Here is a 27,965-nt window from a genome sequence, read left to right on the forward strand (position 1 = left end):
CAGACATTAGTATTGTTATTCACTTGGCTCTGATCATTTTGTGAGCAAGGGGAAAATCTGACTTTTGCACAAAGTCCTTTTACTCTGTGGGTTTATAATTTTGGCCGACAAATGGAGAGGTAAATTGATGATGACTTGCCAGCTAAGAATACTGTGTACTGTCTACCACCATAAGGAGCCAGAATTTTGTCATTTAGCATGATATCTTTTTAGCTTTCCTTACCCAGATTTCCAGCAAAAAAGCAAATTCCTGTATTTCTCAATGAAAAAGCCTTTTAAAAGGTAAGGAGAGTCCATTGTTAGCCCTGGCTGTTCCTGGGGTTAATGTTGATAAGACTGTATTAAACTGTCATCAAGGCTGGCTTCAGGCGTAATGGGAAGACTCTCCCATCATCAGCAAGCATTGATTCCTCATGGACTAGGTGTATTAGTCCATTTTCAGCTGCTGACAAAGACATACTCGAGACTGGGTAATTTATAAAGGAAAGAAGTTTAATTTACTCATGGTTCTGCAGGGCTGGGGAGGCCTCAGGAAACTTGCAATGATGGTGGAAGAAGAAGCAAGCATGTCCTTCTTCACATGGCTGCAGGAAGGAGAAGAATGAGTGAGGAAAAGCCTCTTATAAAACCATCAGATCTTGTGAGAGCTCTCTCACTATTACAAGAACAGCATATGGGAACTGCCCCCATGATCCAATTACCTCCCACCGGGTCCCTCCCAACACACATAGGGATTATGAGAACTACAATTCAAAATGAGATTTGTGTAGGGACACAGCCAAACCATATCACTAGGTTAGGATTGTGAAGCCAGGGAGTGGGGCAGTGAAGTATTTAAGGCCTTCTGGGGAAACAGCACAGCATAGCACTGTGGTTAAGGGACAATACTTTGGGAGCCAGATAGGTCTGGAAGGAAATCCTAGCTCAGTACTCAGTATATATGCAACTTTGGACAAATGACTTAACTTTTTTAGTCTAAATGAGCTCATCTGTAAAATACGAGCATTATTGCCTACCTTGTAGGTCTGTTGTAAAGATTACATGAGATAGTGTTTGCCAAATATTTGGCAATGTCAAGACCTGGGGTGTGGCATGTGCTCATCCTTCTCAGACAGCCCTCCCATTGGTCTTTCCCTTTCTGGTCCCATTTGTAAATAAATATTAAAAATTCTTGGTGTCTGTTGCTTTAAAAAAGCATTTTGGATTGCCATTTACATTTTTAATGTAATCAAATTTAATTTCCCTTTACCTCTGTATGTAGCCGGCGTTATAACTTGGATTTAGATACAATATATGCTACAACTTAGTCATTTCTGGAAGATGAGGTAGGGGCCCCTTGGGAGTCAATTGCATGAGATCTTGAGTTAGACTTCATCCAAAAAGAAGTTGGAAATGAGATGGTCAGGTTTACTTCAAGGGCAGCGCTGGGGGCAGAGGAGAGGGCTGATCACTATGTTAGTCCCTCAGGCTTGATGCTGTGTTACTTAATACACTTTAAGCAACATGGGCACTTATTAGTAGGATATATGGTGTCCCATGTGTGTATTTCAGGTGGTACTGTGAAGCCAGCCACTCTGTTGTCAAGGAGGCTTGTTTATTTGATTGTCCTTACCTGAATCAGCTACACGTCTTTCATGAACTCCAGGATACCTGTCTCTGGAGATAAGAACAGCTGTGTTCAGTCAAGATCAGGCATCAAAACAGACCCATAGTTACTGGCAGAACAGCCTCATCAGACTTTGGGGAGATGAATCTTTATAAACAGCCATGAAATTACTTGATGCAATTGGCCCTTTCAAACACTGCTCTTTACCCATTGGCTGTTACCATTGGTGCCATACATGTAAGCAGTCACTAGAGTATCCTCAGCCATTCAGCTGAATATGTTCCCAGCATCATTCTGCTGTCAGTCAACTGGGAGACCAATATAGTATTGGTCTCTTATGGCAACAGCAGGTGTGTGTGTGTGCATGTGTGTGTGTGTGTGTGTGTGTGTGTGTGTGTAGTCATGTGTAGATGGCAAGTATTAAGTACAACATGGCTCTCTGATCAATGTAGCCCATTCTTTTTTTTTTTTTTTTAAGAATCTGGCCACTTATATTTATTCATAGGAAATTAAATTCCCTGTATGTTGGGCAGCTGGAATTTTATTACTTTCAGGAGGAACAATAAATGTTTTTAAACATCAGTTTATACAAAGCATCTAAAGTCTCCTCCAACATATTCTGTTCATCACCGGAGGTCCTGGCTCTATGAAGAATGATCAAACTTGGTAAACAGTTTCTCTAAATAGAATGTGTGAAATAATTATCTGTGGTTCTTGACGTATACAGAATAGGAAGGAGTAAATTACATATAGAATTTGGAGCTAGAAATCCTCCTATGAAATTCAGATTAATGATTGGTTTTATACTTAGCGTCCCTCTTCCAGGAGATTAATAAAGCAGGGCTGATTCTATACATTTAATAACTATTTACCTGGTGTGATTTGGGAGGCATAAAAATTATCTGCCTCAATATAGTTTTTTTTTACCCAAATGATAATATCTATCTCTAAGATTCATCCTTTTAGGTTAAATATTGCCTCCTTACCTAGTTCTCTTTGTTGGAAGTAGATAATTCATAATGCTACTTATATTTTGGTGTTAATTTCTTTATTCAGTATACCTCTCTCTCTCATAAGAAGATGGGTGTGTGCGTGTGTGTGTGTTTATGTGTTTGACTGTACTAGTCACAGGGTTATGGCTATGGACTACTGTATACCTAGAGAGAGGGCTGGAGGTTGGCTGGGTAGGAAGCATTTGTAAGACATACTTTTAAATTTTGCACAAGGCATTATCTTAGGACTTATTTTGGGGTTATAGCCTTAGAATTCTTGATATAGAGAATTTCTTTTTCTCAGTGATCGTATTTTACATCACAGGTAATGATTCCCATCGACCTAGCTGTTATCATATGCCCGCCCCAGGGCCAATCACAGTGATCATGAGTTTAAAGACATGGGATTGGTCAATTTAGGCCACACGCCTCAGATACCTGAAAGCAGGGGTTGGTGGTGTATTGTACTTGGCAGCCTCATCAGAACCATGTGGAGTAAGGGAAGAGAGTTTTCCAAAGGCAGATGGGGTTGCTATCTGTGCTAGAAAAGGAAAAGGCATGGCAAAACACAAATGACACTAACCACTGGACTCTTCTGACTCAAAATCATCTCCACTCAGAATTTTATTGTGTAAAATAATTCATTCTAACCAGAAGGGTGTGGTGAGTGAGTGAAGGCTAGATGTTTGGAATATGTGCACCCCTGGGGAAGGGGTGATTCTGAAACTCTGCCTCTCTGTGCTTGAGATGAAATAAATCAATACAAAATAGAAGCAGTTGGCCACATGACACTAACACATAAACATGGATCATTTGTAAATGTGCTAATGATGAGACCAAGACGTTTTACACTTCTGCGTCAAAGGGGTGTCTTCTAGACTTGGCCTTTCAATAGAGAAATATCACCTCTAAGGAGGTGACAATTGTGATTGGCAGCCTCACAGGGGTGGGGGAGCAAAAAACTTAGATATTACAATGGTTTGTGGCTTCCCAAAGCTACAGTGCATAAACATATATGCAATATCATGGGGAGGACAATTTAAAAAAATACCTAAAAGAGGTCTTTAGGGGACAATAATGGAAAAAAAAGGTTGAGACACATTGTTCTATATCTAAGCAAGTTGACTTATCTTAGGAAGATGTGAACTAGAATGAAATGATGTTATGAAACTTGTGATCAGAGACACAGCGAGACTGGTGAAAACACAATTGGGATTGGAACCCAGGCACCTCCTAACTCTGTGGAAATGGACAAGTAGCTTAATCTCTCTGCATCTCAGTTTCCTAATAGTGACCTTTTGCAGTCAATCCTTCCCCCAACTACTGGCCTCAGGCAACTATTGATCTGCCTTCTGTCACTGGTTTCCTAGGATTTCATGTAAATAGAATGATACAATATGTGTTCCTTGTCTTGTGTCTGACTTCTTTTGTTCATCATATTTTTGAGATTCATTAATGTTGTTGTAATGTATCAGTATTTCATTCATTTTTATTGCTAATTTGTGTTTTACTCATCAGCTGATGGGCATTTGGATTATTTAGTTTGGGGCTATTAAGGATAATGCTACTATGAACATTTATGTGCAAGGCTTTGTGTGGACATTACTTTCCAAACTTTTTTTTTTTTTTTTGACAGAGTCTTGCTCTGTTGCCCAGGGTGGAGTGCAGTGGCGTGATCTCGGCTCACTGCAACGTCCACCTCCCAAGTTCAAGCAATTCTCTTGTCTCAGCCTCCTGAGTAGCTGGGACTACAGGCGCCCACCACCATGCCTGACAAATTTTTGTATTTTCAGTAGAGACGGGGTTTCACCATGTTGGCCAGGCTGGCCTTGAACTCCTGACCTCAAGTGATCTGCCCACCTCGGCCTCCGAAAGTGCTGGGATTACAGGTGTGAGCCACTGTGCCCAGCCCCAAACTTTTTTTATACTTGGTTCTTGCTACCAGATGCCATTGGATACCAGATATTCTATTTAGTTAATACATACATAAACTGTACATTGTGCAAAACAAACAAAAGACAAAATGCAGGGAAGAAAAAATACAAATGAGTAAACTGGATAAAATTCTTTTTGAAATGCTGCAGATTTTATAAATATTTATTGCTAGAAATAGCATATTTAAAAAATACTTGGAGTGTGAAAAAGTATGTGAAATAGAGACACCCCCAAATGTACAAACTTATCATACTAGTGGTATAATTTTGCAAAACTAATGCATAACTATGTAAAATACAAAATTAGGTTCAAAGTATTTTGGGAAACACTGGCTATAGAAAAAACTTAATTCATAACGCTTAATTCATAATTTTTGGCAGAAAAAATATCCTTAAGCAAATAGGTTTCAGGTAAACAAATTTTAGGCAAATTCACTTTAGGCAAATTTCACTGTCAATGGAATAGCATTTGTGATTAATTAAACATGTATGGCAAAAGGAGAGGTCAAACCTGGGGTGATTCTTAGGTTTTTCTTAAGGACTACCAGGCAGATAGAGGTATCATTCATGGAGACGAGAAATTTAGGAAGGGAAGGAGGATTTGTGGTGACATTGGGAGGGGAGAAAATGAGTTCAGGTTTATTTGTGTTGAGTTAGAGCTTCTTGGGAGGCATCTGGGTCAAGGTGTCCAGTAGGTATAAGATTTATGGAATACAGCAAAAATCTGGCTTGGAGATACCTAAAATTAGGGCTTCATATGGGAGAAAGCCACAGCACACAGGTGTTTAGACACATGGAGACACATCGGGAGAATTGTTGGGGTTGGAGGAGCTCTGTAGGAGACACTTATTCCAATGCAAGAGATTATGAGGCTTTCCTGTCGATTTTGCCTGAGTTTCTCCAAGTAAAGCTCCTCTGGATGTTCCAGGGCACCAGACATACCCACAGTCCTTACACCTCGGGGACTCATGGCTTTGGCTTACAGGGGGTGGGTGATTCTATGAACAACATGGATTCGTTCCAGGGGTTAATATGTGTTGGAAGCTACAAAGAAAAACTGAAAATATGGACTCTCTGAAAACGATATTAGGGAATAAATGTCACTGCTTTGAGCTCCTTGCACAGTGTGTAACATAAAAAGTGAGGGGGAGAGTGTGGCAGATGCCTTTGGTGCCCATGCCACCTCCCCACTGCCCATTTCTAGTTTCAGCTGGAGCTGTGGCAGATGGTTCTGGTGAACTGAGGCTCACTTTGTGTATCTTTCTGATGTCTCTCTTAGGGTATTCTCTGGCTTTGTAGAAGCCCTCTTGACTTATATGCACCTGCAGCCCAGAAATCCAGGAGAGCCAATGCTCTTGGGAGCAACCTTCAATCAGTAGGTATTGGGAGCCAGTGGCTAAATACTCCAGATACTAGTCCTGCAGGTGGGCAGCATTGGAGCCATCCTGTATGCTTTGTGGGGGCCCTGGTTGAACCATGCCCTGTTTCTTCCAATGGTACTTGGATAACACATCTTTATATTTTCTTTTCCTCTTTTCTTGTCTCACTTTATCATTCATTCACTCCAGATTCCTGCATCACTTCTCGTATAAGTCATCTGCACCCAAGTGCTTGCCCCAGGCTCTGCTTTTGGGGGAACTTACTCTAAGACAACTAGCTTTGCCCACTCTTCAACAGAACACGGTCTGCTCGAGTGCTTCCTGCTGGCCTTGGCTGCAGGAAGACACTGTGGTGTCTGGCAGAAACAGCAGGGGGCCCAATGGATGCAGCAACACCCAAACAATGGGAGCCAGGAGGTGAAGGTGAAGGCAGGAACTGAGTTTGGTACATGGTAACTATGGGGCAGTGGGCTGAATGTGTCCATGAGACAACCCCAGGGGACTCTAGAAGTACTTGGTAGCGACTTGGCTGCACACTGGGATTCTGCATTGTCAGGAATGGGTAACAGCCAGTGAAACCCTAGTTATGCGCAAGATTTGGAACTGTCAGAGTATGTGTGGTTGTTTAAGCAATTTTTACTGTTTAAGCATTGTTTACTAATGACAGTAAGTAAAAATTTCCTAGGAATAGCCCATTGGTTCTCAACCTTTGGTGCACATCAGAATCACCTAAGGAACTTATTCAAAGTACAGATGTCCCCGAAGTGCAATCTCTAGGAATGTAGCCATCTCTATTGTATATTTTGGAAAAATTCCTCAGCTGATAATGATGCCCAATAAAACTTGAGGACCTCTGTGCAAAGTGAAACAAAAACAAGGGCAGAGGTAGAAGTCCGAGGAGGCATTAACATGTAAGAAGTAGACAGAGAAAGATGTCTGCGAATGAAGGTATGAGGGAGCAGTCAGAAAGGAGGCGGGGAGCGTCTCGAACAGGGGAAGTAAGGCTCATGACGGGAAGACTGAAAAAGATGTTGGTAGAGGCAGTTTCAGGGAAACAGTGGGGGACTAAGGAATGAACTGAAGAGGAAAAGTACGAGAGTGTACTATACCATGTTCACACAGCTCACAGATCAAATTCTGTCTTCCACCAAATCGCAGCCACTCCGTAGAATAGCACATACAGTGGTACACATATAACCTAGGGTTAGTACAGCTCCCCCTCCACCCTCAGCACCAGGGAGACTGTGGCTATGCCACCTCTAGAAAAGTACCCGTGAGAATCTCTAACAGATAACAATCTCCAAGAAATTAAGAAGGAAAAGACCCTTAAAATAATTAAGCATTTCGGAACAGTGGACTCAAAGAAAGGGATTGTATTTTGATGTTTTGAAATGCAAGTTGTCTCAATGGCACGCTTTCCCCTCTTGGACGGCGTGCAGACTGTCAATCCCCGGCGTCACGCCCTCTGGAAGGCTGCAGAGCCGAGAAGGGAGGAGAAGCCCCTTTCGGGGAAATCTCCTCGGCCACATTTGTCTTGCACTGTGGCAGTGCATCCTCTAGATGGCGATAAATCTCCAAAGAACGCCAAGCCTTTCCTCCTGGCTATAGGTCCCTTGGCAAATTGCTTTCTTAGTAGAGAAAAATGAGAGGCATTTCTTCAGAATTGACTGGAAGCTGCTGAGAAAGCTCTTCCTTGCCTCTTAGTTTTTGAAAGGCGTTTGAAACAGTGGCAAGGGTCTAGCGATTGGAATATTGAAATCTAATCAAGGAAGGAGCTGCTGCATTTCTCAGTATCCTGGAGCTGGGGCCTGGCAGTAATGATGGTGGGTGGTAAAGAGCTCCCTAGACAGACTTCCCTGCTTTGCAGAAACAGCCTCTCCCCCAGGCTGTAACACCTGTGGGTTCTTACCTTTCTCAACAGGGGCATGTCTGTTCATTTTCCATAGGGTAGCTAATGCTAATATGAAACAATTTTTTTTGTTGTTGTTTTGCATTTATCCACCAGGTGCCACTATGTGCCAAGAGCTTTAGAAATCTCATTCAATCCTCTCAAGTAGGTTCTAGTATTTTTCCCTTATTTAAACAAAGGAAATACTTGGCCAAAGTCACTATGGCTGCATTTTGATTCTAGAGCTTAGGTTCTTAATCACACTGCTATAGTACCTCAAGGACAATGCCTCAAAACACTCAAACCTCTGGAAAAGGATCTCTGATGGGTCAGGGATCAGTAAAATGTCTCTCAGGAGACTGGCCTAGAACATGAGACGATGAGGTGTCCAGGGGCTCAGGTTTTCTGAAAGGAGCATGAAGGCACCCTGGAGAGGGTAAAAGAGTTCAGAAGAGAACTGAGGTGTGTGTGAGCCAAGGATGGGATGACTGTTCTTCCCAGAGCTGCCAGCGGCCAGCCCCACCTGTGATTTGGGACTGGACTATTAACCAATAAATGGCCTCAGATTTTTAGTTTGATAGTCAGTGACTTTCTTGGAAACCAGTCAGCCAAATGACCTGTTCAAAGCAGTCAGCAAGTGCACATTTGATCTGGAAATGGGATTGGCAGTCATTGGCGTATTGTGTCTCTGGGTGGGGGCAGCTTTGGTTTCTGACTGTCAGAGAAAGATTCCACCTGACACATGAACCAGCAGGGCTTGGGGTAGGCTTGGTGCAGATGTCTCTATGGTGAACTTCTTACAGGGAGTCACCAGGAGGAATGTTCAGGTTCTTTTTTGGAAATGCAGTTAGTGGCATTGAAGTCACTTTTCTTGCCCTTTCCCCAGTTTGCCTTTAGCATGACTAAAAACATTTAAAGATGACCATTTGTTGATTATGTGCTTGCTATGTGTCTGGCCCTATAATGAGCCATTTATGTGCACTATCCCATCCACCTCTTACATAACCCTATGAGGTAAATTTTATTATCTCCATTCTAGAGGTGAGAAAACTGAGACTTAGTGTGGTCAAGTAACTTACTCAAAGACACACAGGAAGTAAGTGGCAGAACCCTGGTCTCTTTATTCTGAGACCTTCCTCTTACCTACTTTGTTAGGCAGAATCTTCTTTCTCTGCCTAAAATCAGGCTCATTGGCAAAGGCAGAAGCAGAGATGTACAATGATTACTGGAACTCACAAGTCACAGGCTCCTCCGTGCCTCCCCAGAGCAGACAAGATTCAGTCTGAAAGGAAGTCAGTGAGATGTAAAGGAAGGTCTTGGAAACATAGAACTGTCAGACCTGAGGAATAACGTTTCTGCTCCCTGGCTGTGGCTGTGGGAGACACATATGCAAGCCAGGAGGCAGGCCCTGCACTTCTTGAATGAAATTCTGAGGTTGAGTTTGGTTGCCTGCTTCTAGTCTTTTGTCTGGCTATGTGGCTATTATTAACTCTATTAGTACCGCAGTCAACTGGCTGTATTTAACAGTAACATTAATACTGATGGGCACCTTGATGGCAGCCGAGGATTACAGTTGACGGGGCAGCTCTATCCTGGTGATCAAATGGGATGCTTGATGTTGCAGCCACATTTGCCTCCCCTACCTCGAATACTCGAGTGCTTTTACTATATTATCAACATCCATCCTAAAAATGCTGTCAATAGCTAGCTATTTTCCCTTTCCCTCAAGGATCCTGAAATGCTTTGCACATGTTCTTCCTACTGAAAGATAGAAGCCTGGTGTTACAGTTTATCCCCATTTACAAGATGGATATCCTTAAAAGCAAATTGGAAGCTGAGCTGTGTCTCTGCACAATGGCTTCCTTTCATATACCGTGTTTCTCTCCAGAGATATAAGAATATACAGAAATACAAACCTTATTTATGAAAACATAGAGGAAAACATTTGAACGTTCACTTTTATCAGCACTGCATTTTCTTACTTAGCATTAATCCTTTGGCTCATTTTTATTCTTTAATAGAAACACATATCCATGTTAACAAAGAAAGAAAATTAAAACCTTGTCAATCAAAAATTATTTGATTATGTTAATGGTTTTATTTAATGTCTTTTTCTGCCTCTTAGTGTGATTTCTCTTCTCCATATACTTTTAAGAAAAAATTATGTTTCTTCAGCATATCAACTAACATTTATTAAGCTCTTCCTATGCATATGGCACTATTCAAGGCTCTGTATGGGACATAGGTTTGTGTGCCTTTTTCTTCCATAAAAGAGCTTACAATTTAGCTGGGAAGAAACCTGTCTATCCACATTTATGTCAATATAGAGTTACTGCCTCTATTGTTAGTTATGACAAATAAGAGGCACAGATATGTCTTCTAGGACTTCATAGGAAGGAGATGTCGCTGTGAGTGGGCTGTTCAGAGATGAGTTCTGGGAAGTAGTGATCATTCATTCATCCATTCCACAAATACTTGTTGTGCCGGCCACTTGGCAGCTTGCTGGGGCTACGATGATGGATCAGAAAAGCTCCTTGAGAAACTCATGATAGCAGGGAAACAGATGAATAAATAGCTGATTATAATCTAGGCCACGATGACTGGAAAAGGCTGAGCAGTTTGTGCAAAGTTTGGCCTAGGGGGAGATAATGGAGGCAAGTGGGGCTAAAACCCAGTCTCCATCCCCTCTTCCAGGGCAGACATGAGAACTACAGGGACTTTTGTCACAGAGGGGGAGCCTCTTTGCAAATCCTGCCAAGGCATCGTATATATCAGTGGCTGCCCCGAGTGTGATTAATTTTTTTTCTATTTAAAAATTTACATACAATAAAATTCATTTTTTTAAGTGTATAGTTCTGTGAGTTTTGGTAAATGCATAGAGTCATATAACTATCACACATCATGATATAGAATAGTTCCATTGTTCCTCTAAAAAAATTTCCTCTACCTCTTTGTGGTTAAGCCTGCCCTCTTCCCCAGTGCCTGGAAACCACCAATCTGTTCTCCAGTTCTATAGTTGTCTTTTCCAGAATGTCATATAAATGGAGCCATACAGAGTATATAGCCTTTTGGGTCTGCCCTCTTACATAGCATAGTGTATTTGCGATTCATCCATGTTGTTGCATGTATTGATTATTTGTTTCTTTTTATTGATGAGTAGTTTTCCATTGAATGGATGTGCCACAGTTTGTTTATCCATTCCCAGCTTGAGGGATATTCTGGTTGTTTCCAGTTTTTGGTGATGTAGCTGCTATAAACATTTACATATTATTTTCTGTGTGAACACAGGTTTTCATTTCATTTGGGTAATTATCCAGGAGCGAGGTTGCTGGGTTGTATGGTAAGTGTATATTTAGTTTCATAAGAAGCTACTTAGAGATAAAATAAATCTAAGATGAAACAACTTCCACTCTTTTATAGTAGTTATGCCAGTTTGCATTCCTACCAGCAATGTATGAGAATTCCAGTTGCTCTGTATCCTTGTCAGCACTTGATATTCTTCTTTTTTAATTTAGCCATTCTATTAGTGATGTAATAGTATCATTGTGGTTTCAATTTGTTTTTCACTAATGACTAGTTATATTGAATGTATTTCACAGGCTTATTTGCCATCTATATATCTTCCGGGTAATGTACCTGTTGAAATCTTTCCCCATTAAAAAAAACTAGATTTGCTTGATGTGGTTGAGTTTTGAGAATTATTCTTTTTTTTTATTTTCCCAGACAGGGTCTCACTCTGTCTCCCAGGCTGGAGTGTAGTGGCACCATCATAGCTCACTGCAGCTTGAACTCCTGGGTTCAAACCATCCTCCTTCTTCATGAGAATTCTTTATATATTCTCAATACAAATCCTTTGTCAGATGTGAAATTTACAATTATTTTCTCCCAGTTTGTCCTTTCTAGCTATGTCTTTCTCAGAGCAAAAACTTAAAAATTTAATAAACCCAACTTACCAATTTTTAAATTTTTCTTTTCTTTCTTTCTTTTTTTTTTGAGATGGAATCTCGCTCTGTTGCCCAGGCTGGAGTGCAGTGACATGATCTCGGCTCACTGCAACCTCTGCCTCCTGGGTTCAAGCAATTCTCCTGCCTCAGCCTCCCGAGTAGCTGGGATTACAGGCATGTGCCACCACGCCCAGCTAATTTTGGTATTTTTAGTAGAGACAGGGTTTCGCCATGTTGGCCACACTGGTCTCAGACTCCTGGCCTCAAGTGATCTGCCCACCTTGGCCTCCCAAAGTGCTGGGATTATAGGCGTAAGCAAGTAATTTTTAAATTTTATTGATTGCAATTTTGTTGTTATATCTAAGAACTGTGTCTAACTCAAAGTTACAAAGATTTTTCTTCGAGAAATTTTACAATTTTAGGTTTATATTTAGGTCTGTTATCCATTTTGAGTTAATTTTTGTATATGGTACAAGATGTGGATTGAAGCACTTTTTTTTGTACATATGGATATCCAACTGTTCCAGCATTATTTGTTGAAAAGACTCTCTTCATTAAACTGCTTTTGCTTTTTTTAAAAAATCAATTGGTCATGTTTATGTGGGTCTCTTTCTGGGTTTTCTATTTTGTTCCATTGATCTAAGTGTCTCCCCTTTCTCCATTGTGAGTGTGGTAGATCTTAAGTCAGGAAGAGACACCGAGTGAGAGGGGAGCATTTGGGAGAGGACATGGGAAGGCGAGGAAGGGCTGGAGACTTTCCAGGCAACATAACCTTTAAGCCGAGATCTGTGTTGGGTAAGAGTGAGAGGAAAGAGGATGGGCAGGTATCATAGGTCACTTAAGCCTTAGGAACGTTCTGGGCAAACGCTGGAGGGCAAGAGGGAAGTGGGTGGGGGCAACGGTATGGTTCACAGTGTGGTTGGAGCAGAGTATAAGAGTCAGGTTGGAGGCCGGGCGCGGTGGCTCACGCCTGTAATCCCAGCACTTTGGGAGGCCGAGGCGGGCGGATCACGAGGTTAGGAAATCGAGACTATCCTGGCTGACAAGGTGAAACCCCGTCTCTACTAAAAAATACAAAAAATTAGCTGGGCGTGGTGAAGGACGCCTCTAGTCCCAGCTACTCGGGAGGCCGAGGCAGGAGAATGGCGTGAACCCGGGAGGCGGAGCTTGCAGTGAGCCGAGATTGCGCCACTGCACTCCAGCCTGGACTACAGAGTGAGACTCCGTCTCAAAAAACAAACAAACAAACAAAAAAAGAAAAAACAAAAAAGAGTCAGGTTGGAGACGACTCAAGTCAGGGTCAGGTCAAGAGAGGTGTCGATTTGATCCCAAGGGTAGAGTGGATGTATTCATTTCAGAGGAGGGCGTTTAAGCAGGTCAGCAGGATGAGTGAAAACACCACATTCAGAAGTTCTCTGCTGTCATTCGATCAGTGCATCTTCCCTAGCTCTAAAAGAGGGAGTCTGGCTTCTCAAAAACAGCAGACCCCAGGCCCAGCTGCCCAACCATTTCCCGGAGGGAGCAGCCCTCTCAGCCCAGGAGTTGGAACCTGCTCTTCATTTTTCCCTCTTGCCTTGGCTGTGTAGCAAGGCCTTGGTGAATCGCAGTGCACTGCCTGGCGTGGAGCAGCAGATGGCAGCAAAACCAAGGCTCTTGGAGCAGAAGCAGCACAGTTCACGGCCTTCAATCCAGAGCAGCTTTAATATTGCAGCAATTTGGATGTCTGCATAAAAGCAGACTTGTTTTTTTTTCTCTCCACTTCTGGCTCCTGGAAATAATATTCTCTTAACCTTTTGGAATTAAACCAGCCAAATAGAGTGTAACATGTTTCTTAATCATTTGGGCCACCTTCTCCTTTCTGAATGGATGTTGGTTTCAGTGGGAATGTTTTCTGTGGTTGTGGATCATTGAGAAGATGGTGCTGATTTGCTCTGGTAAGCTGAAGGAACAACCAGGCACGTGGCATGAAGTGAAATAAGGACAAATGCAAGAGACATCCTGGAGACAGGCAACTGAGGACAAAGAAAGTCTGTGGGGAAAGGGTGGTGAACCAGGTGCCCACCTGCCAGCATTATTGCTGAGGCACATCTCAGCCAGGTAAGCCTCTTCCTCAGAAAATTCTCCTCTCCCACTGATCCCACTTCCAGAATTTCTTTGTGGACCAGGATGAAGATTTTCAGACTTCAAGTGTTACTTTCTTGGGGAGCTGGAGCACTCCCTCCCTCCCCTGGTACCCTACTAGACCAGGTGACACACTCACTCAGTTCAGTGCAACTTGCCTTCATGGTACTTTTCACAGTGTGTAATTATATGACTGTGGGACAATACAATTGGTGTCTCTATCCTCTACTAGACGGTAAACCCCATGAAGGCAGGAATCGTTTTTGCTTTGCCTATTTCTGTATCCGATAGGTCTGGCATAGTTGCTGGCATAACTATGACACAATTATCTGTTGAGTAATTCCATGATTATATAAGCAGAAGAGGATATATAATAGAGAGGCAGAGAGCCAGATTGATCTGGGTGGAAATCTGGTGTTATTCTTATTAGTCTGTTTTCATGCTGCTGATAAAGACATACCCAAAACTGGGAACAAAAAGAGGTTTAATTGGACTTACAGTTCCACATGGCTGGGGAGGCCTCAGAATCATAGTGGGAGACAAAAAGCACTTCTTACATGGTGGTGGCAAGGGAAAATGAGGAAGAAGCAAAAGCGGAAACCCATGATAAACCCATCAGATCTTGTGAGATTTATTCACTATCATGGGAAAGATCAGCCTCCATGATTCAATTACCTCCCTCTGGGTCCCTCCCACAACACGTGGGAATTCTGGGAGATACAATTCAAGTTGAGATTTGGGTGGGGACACAGCCAAACCATATCACTGTTACTCATCCACTGCATGTACTGGGTATGTTGCTCCAAATTTCAGTTTTCTCATCTGTAAAATAGAAACAATGGTACCTATCTTGCAGGCTGGTTATGAGTATACAATGAAATTATCTGTGTTAAGTATTTAGCCCAGTACTTGAAAGTAAGTGCCTGTACATGATAGTTACTTTAATTTTTACGATAGAGCCTTCATATGCAATTTGCCCAAGGAAACAGCATTGGTCTGATTTCAAAAGGAGATGAACTGACTAACGTGAGAGCTTGTTTCATACAGTTTTGAATGGAGAGAGGAAGAGAGAGTTGTTGGAGGTATGGTGTTGCTGCTGTTGCTGCTGAAATGAGTGACTTGAAAGTCCCAAAAGTGTTAAGATGTTCTGCACTAAGGTGTGTGGGAAAAGACTGCTCCAAGTCACAATAAATAATAAGCTGACTAGGTGAGGCCATATCCTCGTTTAAAAAAAGAAATACAGTGGGATTGTTGACATGGGTGTCAAGAATGTAAGGCTGAGCAAAGCAATTAGACATTGAAATTCCACCAAGACAGTGTTAAAAGAATTGTGTTCAGTTCTGCACTCCACACTGGAAGAGTAGTGAGATTAAAGGAAGCCGCCACAGAGAAGGGTGAGTACTGATGTTCCCTTCCCAAAAAATGCTTTCAAGCTGTTACATGCATGCTTTATATTACTTAAAAAAGCAGAGCTTTTGAAAGTGCTTTTAAATATTTGGGAAATTTATTCATAATAGCCAAAAAGTAGAAACAAGCCAAATGTCCATCACTTGATGAATGGATAAACAAAGATTGTTATATCCGTATAATGGTATACCATTCAGGCATTAAAAAAATGAAGTTATAATACGTGCTATAACATTGATGGACCTTGAAAACATTATGCAAAGTGAAATAAGCCAGACACAAGTATTGTGTGATTCCACTTATATGAGGTACCTACAGTAGTCACATTAGTAGAGAGAAAAAGTAGAATGGTGGTTGCCTAAGGCTGAGGGAAGGATAGGGTGGGGAATAGTGTTTGACTACTAATGGGTACAAGTTTTATTTTGGGGTGATGGAAATGTTGTAAAGTGAGATTGTGGTGATTTTACAAGTCCATGAACATACAGGAAACCACTGAAGTGTAATTTAAATGAATAAATTTTATGATATGTGAATTATATCTCAATAAAGATGTTAAAAATATTAGGGAGCGATCAGAGATTCATAACCCAGGCTGCATATTACAATATTTGGAGAGGCTAAAAAAATATCACTTCCCAGGATCCCACTGCAACCACTGAGATCTGAATATCTGAGGGGTGAGGCATAGCCCTGGGCATTTGTGAAGCCAGGATTGAGAGACTCTGCACCGGTTGATTGAGGGATTAGATTTTAACTTTTCTGCCCCTTAAGAACTCACTGAATAGGCACATGATTTTGTTGTTTTAATGATATAAGGCTGCATGTTCAAAATAATTTTCCTTAGCTTTTCTTGGAGGCAGAACAGTGGCTGAACTGTATGGTCTTACTAGGAACTTTCCCATTTTAGGATTTTATAATTACATTTATCTTTTGCAAATGTCATTAAAAGATACAAATATTTGTTCTGAGTAATGCCTGATGCTTTAGTGCAACCAGAAACATTCTATTCGTTTATTTTTCTTATTTTTTCCCACTGGCTTTCTTAAGGTATAACTGACAAATAAAATAATGTGTATTTAAGATATACAATACGATGATTTGATATACATTTATATAATAAAATGATTACCATGTTCAAACTAATTACTACATTCATCACCTCACAGTTACCATTTTTTTGGTGGTGATAACACTTAAGATCTACTCTCAGCAAATTGCAAGTATACAATACAGTCATATTGACTGTAGTCACAGTGTTGTACATTAGATTCCCAGAACTTCATCTTATAAATGAAAGTTTGTACACTTTGACCAACATCTCTTCATTCTGCCCTCTGCACCATGCTTCCCTGCACTACTGGCAGTCACCATTCTGTCTTTTTTTAAAAATTTTTATTTTAGATTTGGGGGTACATGTGAAGGTTTGTTACGTAGGTAAATATGTGTCATGGGGGTTTGTTGTACATATTATTTCATCACCTGGGTACTAAGCCCAGTACCCAATAGTTACTTTTCCGCTCCTCTCCCTCCTCCCACCTTCCCCCCTCAAGTAGAACCCAGTGTCTGTTGTTTCCTTCTTTGTATTCATAAATTCTTATCATTTAGCTCCCACTTATAAGTGAGAACATGTGGTATTTGGTTTTCTGTTCCTGTATCACTTTGCTAAGGGTAATAGCCTCCAGCTCCATTCATGTTCCCACAAAATACACAATCTCATTCCTTTTTATGCTGTATTCCATGGTGTATATGTACCACATTTTCTTTATCCGATCTGTCATTTTTGGTCATTTAGGTTGATTCCACATCTTTGTTATTGTGAACGGTGCTGCAATGAACATTCACGTGCATGTATCTTTATGGTAGAGTGATTTATATTCACCTGGTATATACAAACTAATGGGATTGCTGGGTTGAATATTTCTGCTTTTAGCTCTTTGAGGAACCTTCATATTGCTTTCCACAATGGTTGAACTAATTTACACTCCCACCCACAGTGTATAAGTGTTCCCTTTTCTCTGCAACCTCAGCAGCATCTGTTATTTTCTGACTTTTTAGTAATAGCTGTTCTGACTGGTGTGAGATGGTATATCATTGTGGTTTTGATTTGCATTTCTATAATGATCAATCACCATTATATTCTTTGCTTCTATGACTTTAGCTTTTTCAGATTCCACATATAAGTGAGACAATGCAGTATCTTTCTGTACCTGGCTTATTTCACATAGCATAATGTCATCCAGTTTCATCCATGTTGTCACAAATGACAGGATTTCTTGTTTTTTTTATGACTCTGAAGTATTTCATTGTGCATGTACTACATTTCATATATCTGTTCATCTGTTGACAGATATTTAAGTTGATTCCATATCTTGGTGATTGTGAATAAAGCTGCAATGAACATGGAGGTGCAGATATCTCTCTGACATATTGATTTCATTTCTTTTGGATATACAGTTACGCACCACTTAATGATGTTTCAGTCAACTATAGACTATAAACATGGTGGTGGTCCCTTAAGATCTTAATATCATATTTTTACTGTATCTTTTCTATGTTTAGATATGTTCAGATACACAAATACCATTGTGTTACAGTTGCTTACGGTATTTGGTACAGTAACATGCTGTAGAGGTTTGGAGCCTAGAAGCAACAGGCTATACCATAAAGCCTAGGTGTGTAGTATGTTATACCACTTAGATTTGTGGAAGTGTACTCTATGATGTTGGCACAATGACAAAATTGCCTAATGATGAATTTCTCAGAATGTTTCTCTGTTGTTAAGTGACACATGACTGTATACCCAGAAGTGGGATTACTGGATCATATGGTTGTTATATTTTTAATTGTTTGAAGAACCTCCATACTATTTCCTATAATGGTTGTATCAATGTACATTCCCCTCAACAATGTACAAGGGTTTCCTTTTCTCAACACTCTTGCCAACATTTATCATTTGTCTTTTTGATAACAGCTATCTTAATAGGTGTGACACAATGTCCCATTGTAGTTTTGAATTGTATTTCCTTGATGATTAGGGATATTGAGCACCTTTCCATATCCCTGTTGGCCATTTGTATATCTTTGGAAAAATGTCTATTCAGATGCTTCCACTTTTTTTTTTCTCTTGGGTTGTTTGAGTTTCTTGTATGTTTTGGATATTTATCCCTTATCCCTTGCAGATATATGATTTGCAAATATTTCCTCCAATTCCACAGGTTGACTTTTCATTTTGTTGCTTGTTCCTTTGCTGTATAGAAGCTTTTTAGTTTGATGCAGTCTTATTTGTTCATTTTTGCTTTAGTTGCTTGTGCTTTTGGTGTTATAGCAAAAAAAAAAAAAAATCATTGCCAAGACCATTGTCGAGGAACTTTCTCTCAACATTTTCTTCTAGGAGTTTTATAGTTTCAGTTCCTACAGTTAAGTCTTTAATCCATTTTGAGGTAATTTTTTTGGTGGATCATATGTCAGTTTTATTTTTAATTTTTTCAGCAAAAAGGGTGTACAAAAAGGGCCCAATTTCATTCTTTTGCATGAGGATTTCAGTTTTCCCAGCATCATTTATTAAAGAGACTATCTTTTTCTTGGCCAGGAGTGGTGGCTCACGCCTACAACCCCAGCACTTTGGGAGGCTGAGGCGGGCGGATCATTTCAAGTCAGGAGTTTGAGACCAGCCTGGCCAACATGGTGAAAGCCCATCTCTATTAAAAATACAAAAATTAGCTGGGCATGGTGGTGCATGCCTGTAATCGCTGCTACTTGGGAGGCTGAGGCAGGAGAATCGCTTGAACCTGGGAGGCGGAAGTTGCAGTGAGCCAAGATCACACCACTAGCACTCCAGCCTGGGTGACAAGAGCGAAACTCCATCTCAAAAAAAAAAAAAAAGACTATCTTTTCCTAATTGTGTGTTCTTGATGCCTTTGTCAAAGATTAGTTGTATATGCATGGGATTATTTCTAGGCTCTTTATTCTCTTCCACTGACAAGCTGTGGACTTGTCATATACGGATTTTATTATGTTGAAGTAAATTTTTTCCCCATTTAATTGAGATTTTATCAGGAAAGGATGTTGAATTTGGTCAAGTGCTTTTTCTGCATTTATTGAGATAATTGTGATTTTTATCCTTCATTCTGATTCTGTTAATGTGGTGTATTATGTTTATTGTTTTGCATATGCTGAACCATCCTTGCATCCCAATTAATGTCTGTTTTTATGACAGTACCATACTGTTTTGATTACTATAGCTTTGTATTATAGTTTAAAATCAAGAAGTGTGATACCTCTACCTTTTTCTTCTTACCTTCTTACTCAAGATTATTTTGGCTATTTGGGGTCTTTTGTGGTTCCATACAAATTTTTGGGTTTTAAAAAACGTTTTTTGTAAAAAATGCTCTTGGAAGTTGAAGAGGTATTGCGTTGAATTTCTAAATTGTTTTGGGTACTGTGGATATTTTAAGAATATAATTCTTCAAATCTATGAACACTAGATATCTTTCCATTTGTTTGTATCTTTTTGGCTTTCTTTTATTGATGTTTTAGGCTGCTTAGTGTACAGATCTTTCACCTCCTCAGTTAAATTTATTCATAAGTGTTTATTTTTTGGTATCTATTATAAATGGGATTGTTTTCCTAATTTATTTTTTTGGAGCGTGTATAGAAACACAACTGATTTTTGTATGTTACGTTTGTATTCTGCAACTATACTGAAGTCATGTATTATTTATAACAGTTTTCACGGTGGTCTTTAGGATTTTATATAAATAAAATTATGCCATCTGCAAACAGAGAGTATTTAACTTTTTCCTTTCTGATTTGAATGACTTTTATTTCTTTTAATTCTTAATTTTCTGGGCTAGTAATTCCAGTATTACGTTGAACAGAGGTGGTGAGAATGGGCATCCTTGTCTTTTTCCTGATCTTAGAGGAAAACTTTCATCTTTTCACCGCTGAGTATAATATTACTTGTGAACTTGTGCTATGGCCTTTATTATGTTGATGTACATTGTTTCTCTATTTAATTGAGAATTTTTATCAGGCAAGGATGTTGAATTTTGTCAAATGCTTTTTCTACATTTGTTGAGATAGTAGTGATTTTTATCCTTCATTCTGCTAATATGGTGTATCATATTTATTGATCAGCATACAATGAACCATCCTTGCATCCAGGGATAAATCCAGCTTGATCATGCTGTATAATTCTTTTAATGTTCTGTTGAATTGGTTTGCTGGTGTTTTGTTGAGAATTTTTGCATCTATATTCATCAGGAATATTGACCTGCCATTTCCTTTTTTTGTAGTGTCCTTGTCTGGCTTTGGTATGAGGGTAATGCTGGCTTTGTAATATAAATATGGAAGTGTTCTTTTCTTTCAATTTTTAAGAAGAGTTTGAGAAGGATTGAAATTAATTCTTTAAATGTTTGGTAAAATTCACCCAGGAAGTCATCTAGTCCTGGGCTTTTCTCCATTGGGATGTTTTTGATCAGTGCTTCAATCTTCTTACTCACTATTAGTCTATTCAGATGTTCTGTTTCTTTATTATTTGGTCTTGGTAGGTTGTCTGTTTCTAGGGATTTATTCATTCTTCTAGGTTATACAATTTATTGGATAGTAGTCTCTTATGATCCTTTGTATTTCTATGGTATCAGTTGTAACGTATCCTTTTAAATTTATGCTTTTATTTGTTTGAGTCCTCTCTCTTTGTTTCTGGGTTAGTTTAGTTAAAGGTTTGCCAGTTTTGTTTCTTTTCAAAAAACGAACTCTTAGAAAACTAACTCAGTTTTGTTGATACTTTTCAATTGTCTTTCTAGTCTCTATTTCATGTATTCTTTCTCTAATCTTTATTGTTTCCTTCCTTATGCTAACTTTGGGCTTAGCTTGTTCTAGGTTTTTCTGGTTCCTTGAGGTGTAGTGCTAGGTTGTTTATTTGAGATTTTTTTTTCTTAATGTAGTATTTATCAATGTAAACTTCCCTCTTAGAACTGCTTTTTGTGCTTCCCATAAGATTTGGAATGCTGTTTCTATTTTTGCCTCAAAATACTTTTTAATTTTCCTTTTGATTTCTTTATTGACACATTGGTTGTTAATGAATGTGTTATTTTCCACATACTTATGAATTTCAAATATTCTTCCTGATATTGATTTTTAATTTTATACCAGGTGGTTAGAAAAAATACTTAATGTAATTTGAGTCTTCTTAAATTTGTTGACTTGTTTTGTGGCCTAGCATATGATCTATCCTGAAGAATGTTCTATATGTGCTTGAGAAGAATGTATATTTTACTGCTGTGGGTGGAATGTTCTCTATGTCTATTAGGTCCACCTGGCCTATAGTGCTATTCAAGTCTTCTATTTCCTTATTGATTTTCTGTCTGGATGATCTACTCATTGTTGAAAGTATTATTCTATTCCCTTCTATTCTCCCTATTCTAGTATTATTATATTCCCTTCTATTTCTCCCTTCAGTTCTGTTAATATTTGCTTTATATATTTAGGTGTTCCAATGTTTGGTGCATATATATTTACAATTGTTATATTCTCTTGATGAAATTAATGTCTTTATTATTATATAGTGACCTTATTTGTCTCTTGTGACAGATTTTGACTAAAAGTCTATTTTGTCTGAGGTAAGTATAATTAATCTTGCTCTCCCTTGGTTATCATTTGTGTGGGATATCTTTTTCCATCCCTTCACTTTCAGCCTCTGTGTGTCCTTAAAGTCTCCTCTAGGCAGCATATTATTGTATCTTGTTTTGTTGTTGCATTCAGCCACTCTGTGTCTTTTGGCTGGAGAATGTAGTTCATTTACATTTAAAGTAATTATTGCTAGGTAAGGATTTACTATTATGATTTTATTAATTGTTCTCTGTTTTGTAGTTACTTTTATCCTCTTTCTGTCTTCCTTTGTAATTTGTTGATTTTTTAGTGACATGCTTTGATTCCTTTCTCTTTCTCTTTTGTATCTAATAGAGGTTTTTCTTTGTGGTTACCATGAGGCTTACGTAAAACATCTTAGAATTATAACAGTCTATTTTAGGCTGATAACAACCTCAATTGCATATAAAAACTCTACACTTTTACTTTCCCCTCTACTACCTTTTAGGCTATTTCAGTAAAACTTTACATCTTTTTATATAGTGTATCCATAAATAAATTATTATACCTATAGTTATTTTGAATACTTTTGTCTTTCAACCTTTACACTAGAGTTAAAAGTGATTTATGCACCACCATTACTGTATTCTGAATTTGACTATATATTTACCTTTACCAGCGAGTTTTATGCATTCATATGTTTTTATGTTGTTACTTAGGATCCTTTTGTTTCAACTTGAAGAATTCCCTTTAGTGTTTTTTTGTAAGACAAGTCTGGTGGTGATAAACTGCTTCAGCTTCTGTTTGTCTGGGAAAGTCTTTTATCTTTTATCTCTCTTTCATTTCTTAAGGACAGCTTTGCCAGGTGTAGTATTATTGGTTGGCAGTTTTTTCCTTTTAACACTTTGAATATATTAAACTACTTCCTCTTGGCTCCTTGCAGGTCCCATGGTGGATGGTGCTGGTAGCAGAACCAGGGCCAAATTGGGCTGTAACCAAGTCCACAGGGGGATGGGGCTGTTTCTGGGTCTGTAGCTGGGGCCATGGTCAATGAGCATACCACCTGGGCATAGACCTGCATTCTCAAAATGCCCTCCTCAGTATTACAGCCTCCTACCTGGATCCCAAAGCTCCCATAAAGGTACTTTTGTCTGTTGATAGCTGACAAATTAATGTTTCTGTGAGGAGATATGAGCAAGGACCTCATATTCTGCCACCTTGCTGACATTACTCCCTCTGTTCATTTAAATTTACTTAATAGAGGTAATGACATGGGTACTAACATGAGAATTTTCATGCCAAAATCATACTTTCTATTTAGACAATTTAAAATCGTTAATACTTTAATGAAACAAACTTTTGTTTCATTATTGTTTTCATCATTATCACCATGATCCAAAGCAATTAATTGTCTGTTTATTTTCCACACTGGCAGGAGCAAGTCACACCTGTCCTTTTAGGCGAACCACTGCCTTTCCTGAAGAATGGTAATAAAAGTCCCTGTTAAAGTCTTCATGAAACCCAACCAGGACTTTTTTTTTTTTTTCCAAGTCATAGTCTCTCTCTTTCGCCCAGGTTGGAGTACAGTGGCACAATCTTGGCTCACTGCAGCCTCTGCCTCCTGGGTTCAAGTGATTCTCAGTGCCTCAGCTTCCTGAGTAGCTGGGACTACAGGCACATGCCACCATGCCTGGCTAGTTTTTGTATTTTGGTAGACACAGGGTTTTGCCATGTTGGCCAGGCTGGTCTCTAACTCCAGGCCTCAAGTAATCCAAATGCCTCAGCCTCCCAAAGTGTTGGGATTACAGGGGTGAGCCACCGCATCTGGCCCAGAACTTTAAAAAATTGCAGTAACTTTTTAAAGAATGGAGGGGTCGGCTGGGTGCAGTGGCTCACGCCTGTAATCCCAGCACTTTGGGAGGCCAAGTCGGGTGGATTGCCTCAGCTCAGGAATTCAAGACCAGCCTGGGCAACACGGTGAAACCCCGTCTCTACTAAAATACAAAAAATTAGCTAGGTGTAGAAGTGGGCACCTGTAGTTCCAGTTACTAGGGAGGCTGAGGCAGGGAGAATCGATTGAACCCAGGAGGCCAGAAGTTGCAGTAAGCCCCAGATCATACCACTGGACTCCAGCCTGAGCTACAGAGTGAGACTATCTCAAAAAAAAAAAAAAAAAAGAAAAAGAAAAAAAAGAATAGAGGGGTAGAGGGTCACCAATATCTTGAATTTTGTAGTGCAAAAAAAGTGTTGGAAAGTTTCAATATAAACACATTAGAATAGAAAATGTTATCATATTAAATTGAATTTTGGAGGGGCAACTCTGGTAGCATGAAAGGAGGAAGAAGAAATAAATTTATATTTATTGAGCTTCTACTGTGACTCAGATTCAAAGCTTAATGCTTTTTATAGAGCATATCATTTTATTCCAGCCCCAATAACCTTGGTAGGGAAGCACTGTCTTTTTGTTTGTTTTCAGATGAAGAAATGAGGCCAGGGGAGCCACTTAATTTGCCCTAAGTCTCAAGCTTGTAGGTGGAGGTCCTGAGATGTGGTCCCGCAGATGTAACTCTGCCGTCCTGTCATTCTGAAGACAGGCCAGATTGTGTTTTATAGCTTTGTATAGGAAAAAGCACTAAACATTAGATGACCCTAACTTCAAATTCTCTGTGGTCTTGAGTAAGTCATAACCTTTGCATCCCATTCTCCTAAGATATGAAGGTGAATGTATTTGTCTCATGGGATCGTTAAGAGGCAAATGAGTTAACGTAGGTAAAAGTCCTCAGCATCTTAATTGGCATCGCACAGGTGGGACATTACAAAGGTCAGTCTAGTAGCTTAGAGTGAATGTGGCGTAGCTGAAGTGGAAAAAGTGGCCCATCTTGGTAAAATCCCCAGCCTCACTCTAATCTTCTTTGAATTCCCTCTGAATGAGGGACAGGCATGAAAGCCCAGGTTGAAAAAAGCTCCCAGTTGGTTCTGTCTGCCTGGGTACGTATTTTGGTTTTCAAAGGAATTATTTTCCTGGCTTGAGTTCTTTCAGAAATCCATTAATTTATAAATCAATAGAAATATATCCAGCACCTGCTTTGTGCTAAGTGCCCTGGGGAATATATCTGCCTGCAAGGAACTTAATGTATAGTTGCAGGGGGCAAAGCAAACAAATGCAGAACAACAGCAGTACCAAAGAGATGCTATTCATATTTAAAAAATACATAGTAAAAATTCTAAAGTACTGAAGGTAGAAAGTAAGTTCCTCTCCCACCCCTACCCTTCTTGCCCTGGTTCTCTTTCCCTCTAATCAGTTTCTTAGTGCTCTCTGAGAGATTCTTTCTATATAAAGGCATATACGTACATATAGCACCTTTCCTTTTGCCAAAATACCAAACGAGACATACTATAATACTCTCCTGTGCTTTGCTTTTTAAAATTCATAAAATATCTCAGATATTGTGCTGTATCAGTACATATTGATCTCCCTCATTCTAATGGAATTCTTTTGTATGAATATAGCACGCTTTATTTAATAGCCCCTTTATCAATGGTCTTTTAGGTTGTTTCTAGGCTTTTGCTACCTGAACAATGCTGCAATAAATTCTCCTGACAAAGAGCTATAATTAAGGGCTAAATTGTGTGGCTCAGACTGTAAGTGATTCTGATTTCACAGTATGGGTGCTAATGGCATTTTGGGTGAGACAGTTTTGGTTGTGCAGAACTGTCTTGCCCACTGCATGATTTTTAGGTTCCCTGCCAAAGTTCCAGCATGCTCTCATTGTGACAACCAAAAAAGCCAGTCCCGGTCCCCCCAGCTCCCATCTCCAAGTGTTCTCTAGGGGGATGATATTACCAAGATTGGGAATTGCTGCAAGCATAGTGAGTTAGAGTTGGAAGCCGTCTGGGGAAAAGGGCAGTCTGAGCGTGCTATGATTTCAGTGTTTGTGTCCCCTTCAAAATTCATGTTGAAACACAACCCCAGTGCAACAATATTAAGAGGTGAGGCCTTTAGGTGGTGATTAGGTCACGAGGGCTTCACCCTCAAGGATAGGATTAGCACTTCTAAAAGGACATGAGGAAATGAATTCGCCTCCTTTTGCCCCTCTGTCCCTTCCATCATGTGAGAACACAGCAACATATTGGAAGCAAAGAGCAGCCCTCACCAAACACTGAGCCTGCCAGTGCATTGATTTTGGACCTTCTAGTGTTCAGAATATGAGAAATAAATTTCTATTGTTTACAAATTACTCAGCTTATGGTATTTTGTTATAGTAGCACAAAAGCCCTAAGACAGAGCAGGACTTGAGGATTTGTACAGGCTTGGGGACACAGCCTGCTAAGGATGAGAGTTAGTCATCTTATTGGGGGATTTCCCTTGTCTTGGTGCCTACTTTTTTACTCCCAGAGAGATGACATAGTGTTTGTGAAGCCAATTGGCCTGGCAAGTAGTCCTTAGGTTTTAATGTGGGTCCTAGAAAGAGCTGGGACCTTGCTTCAGCTTCTTTGCCCAGCCTGCCATGTTGGCCCTGGGTTTGCCTTTGGTCACAGGTGTGGAGGTGCTGGCCTGGTGACTCTGTTCACTAGTAGAATGAAGAAGGCCATTAACACTGGATGGACCACTGATAGGCCTTGGGACAAATTATGCAATGCTTGAATTTTCACTCTACCGTTTCTGTGCCAGTGAATCATAAATTCCTAGAAAGTTAAAGCTGAAGGGAAATTTTTAGATCATCTAGCCCCTCTCAATTAGAAGAGAGGGAGTCAGGATAATGTGCTTTAGAAGGTAAAATGTCATAAAAGAGCCTGCAAGTAAGGGGTACTATGGACTAGGGGATAAGAGTAGAGATGACTGAGTATGATGGACTTCATGCCAAGGGAAAAATGATCTAAATCAGTGGCTTACAAACTGGATTTTATATCAGTATTGGAAAAGTAATATAAGGAAGAAATGCAGATTTCTAGGCCCCACCCCAGCCAGAACAAATTAGAATTCTAGGACTAGGATCTGGGAATCTGTATTTTTTTTTTTTTAATTGAGACGGAGTCTCGTTCTTTCGTCCAGGCTGGACTGCAGTGGCGCTATCTCGGCTCACTGCAAGCTCCGCCTCCCAGGTTCACGCAATTCTCCTGCCTCAGCCTCCTGAGTAGCTGGAACTACAGGCGCCCGCCACCGTGCCCGGCTAATTTTTTTTTTTTTTTGTATTTTTAACAGATATGCGTTTTCACCATGTTAGCCAGGATGGTCTTGATCTCCTGACCTCGTGATTTGCCCGCCTCGACCTCCCAAAGTGCTCGGGAATCTGTATTTTTACTATGATCCTCAGGTGATCTTTGTGCCTAGTAGTGGCCTGACAATGAATCTTAGGAAACTCTGATTTAAATAGACTCAATCAAATAATTTCCATATCACAAATATGAGTGTCAGAGGAGCCTGGGCTGCTCCTTTGCTGGATATCTGTACTCTGGGCAAAGGGAGAGAGCAGATAATATGCCGGGTGGTTAATTATGTTGGCATTTATTCATTCTGAAATGTTTACAAATGTAATTAGAAGCCAGATTAGGTATGATGCTCACTGACCTTTAAGGAGAGCTTGGCATCAAACAACCAAAAAAAAAAAAAAAAAAAAGAAAAAAAGAGGAAATGCCTATATCAAAGGTTAATCAGAGCAAAACACAGCATGATTAGCTGGGAATCTCTAGCTTGCAAAAAGAAGGATTTTATTTGGTATTAAGAATTAAGAATTAGGAAATGGAAGATCATTTCTTCTGAGTCATTGTTTTTCTGGGTTTGGAATGACTCTTCCCAGACCTGAGCCTTTCCCGGCTGGCCTAACAATTTTCTGCCTGACATTGTTGGGAAGATATTTTCAATGGTAAATTTAGAGCTCTTGCTCCATGTGGTTACATAATCAAACTGGATCACTGACTATTCTTACCTCATCTTCCAGAGACTGTATGGAACCCTACCTTCCTTCAGATGATGGCAAATCCTCCCGGGTCCTATAGAACGGTTCTCTCTCTTGCCTTTAGGTTCTTCTCCCCAGCTAGGGTTCACAGGGTTACTTTCCTGACAATCAGGTGAAGCTGACTATGTGACCTCAGGTAAGTCTCCCAA

General features: G+C 39.9%; 2 long non-coding RNA genes across 3 annotated transcripts in view; one reads left to right on the plus strand and one right to left on the minus strand.

Moving 5' to 3' along the window:
- Window positions 1-506: 506 nt before the first annotated feature.
- Window positions 507-27,958, minus strand: LOC101928859 (uncharacterized). Of its 2 annotated transcripts, none has more exons than XR_246119.4 (4): window positions 27,818-27,958; window positions 8,943-9,081; window positions 1,613-1,656; window positions 507-584 (listed from the first exon to the last, which is right to left on the minus strand). It is a non-coding gene; the product is annotated as an uncharacterized LOC101928859 (long non-coding RNA). The 2 variants fall into 2 exon arrangements; XR_007062169.1 differs by lacking the exon at window positions 507-584 and adding an exon at window positions 1,339-1,424.
- Window positions 13,453-27,965, plus strand: part of LOC124902439 (uncharacterized) — an 820,351-nt gene continuing 805,838 nt past the window's right edge. The window contains exon 1 of the long non-coding RNA XR_007062161.1: window positions 13,453-13,840. This is a non-coding gene — a long non-coding RNA (uncharacterized LOC124902439). The remainder of the gene's footprint in view (window positions 13,841-27,965) is intronic.

Source organism: Homo sapiens, chromosome 10 (assembly GCF_000001405.40).
Source record: "Homo sapiens chromosome 10, GRCh38.p14 Primary Assembly".
Lineage (NCBI taxonomy): Eukaryota > Metazoa > Chordata > Mammalia > Primates > Hominidae > Homo > Homo sapiens.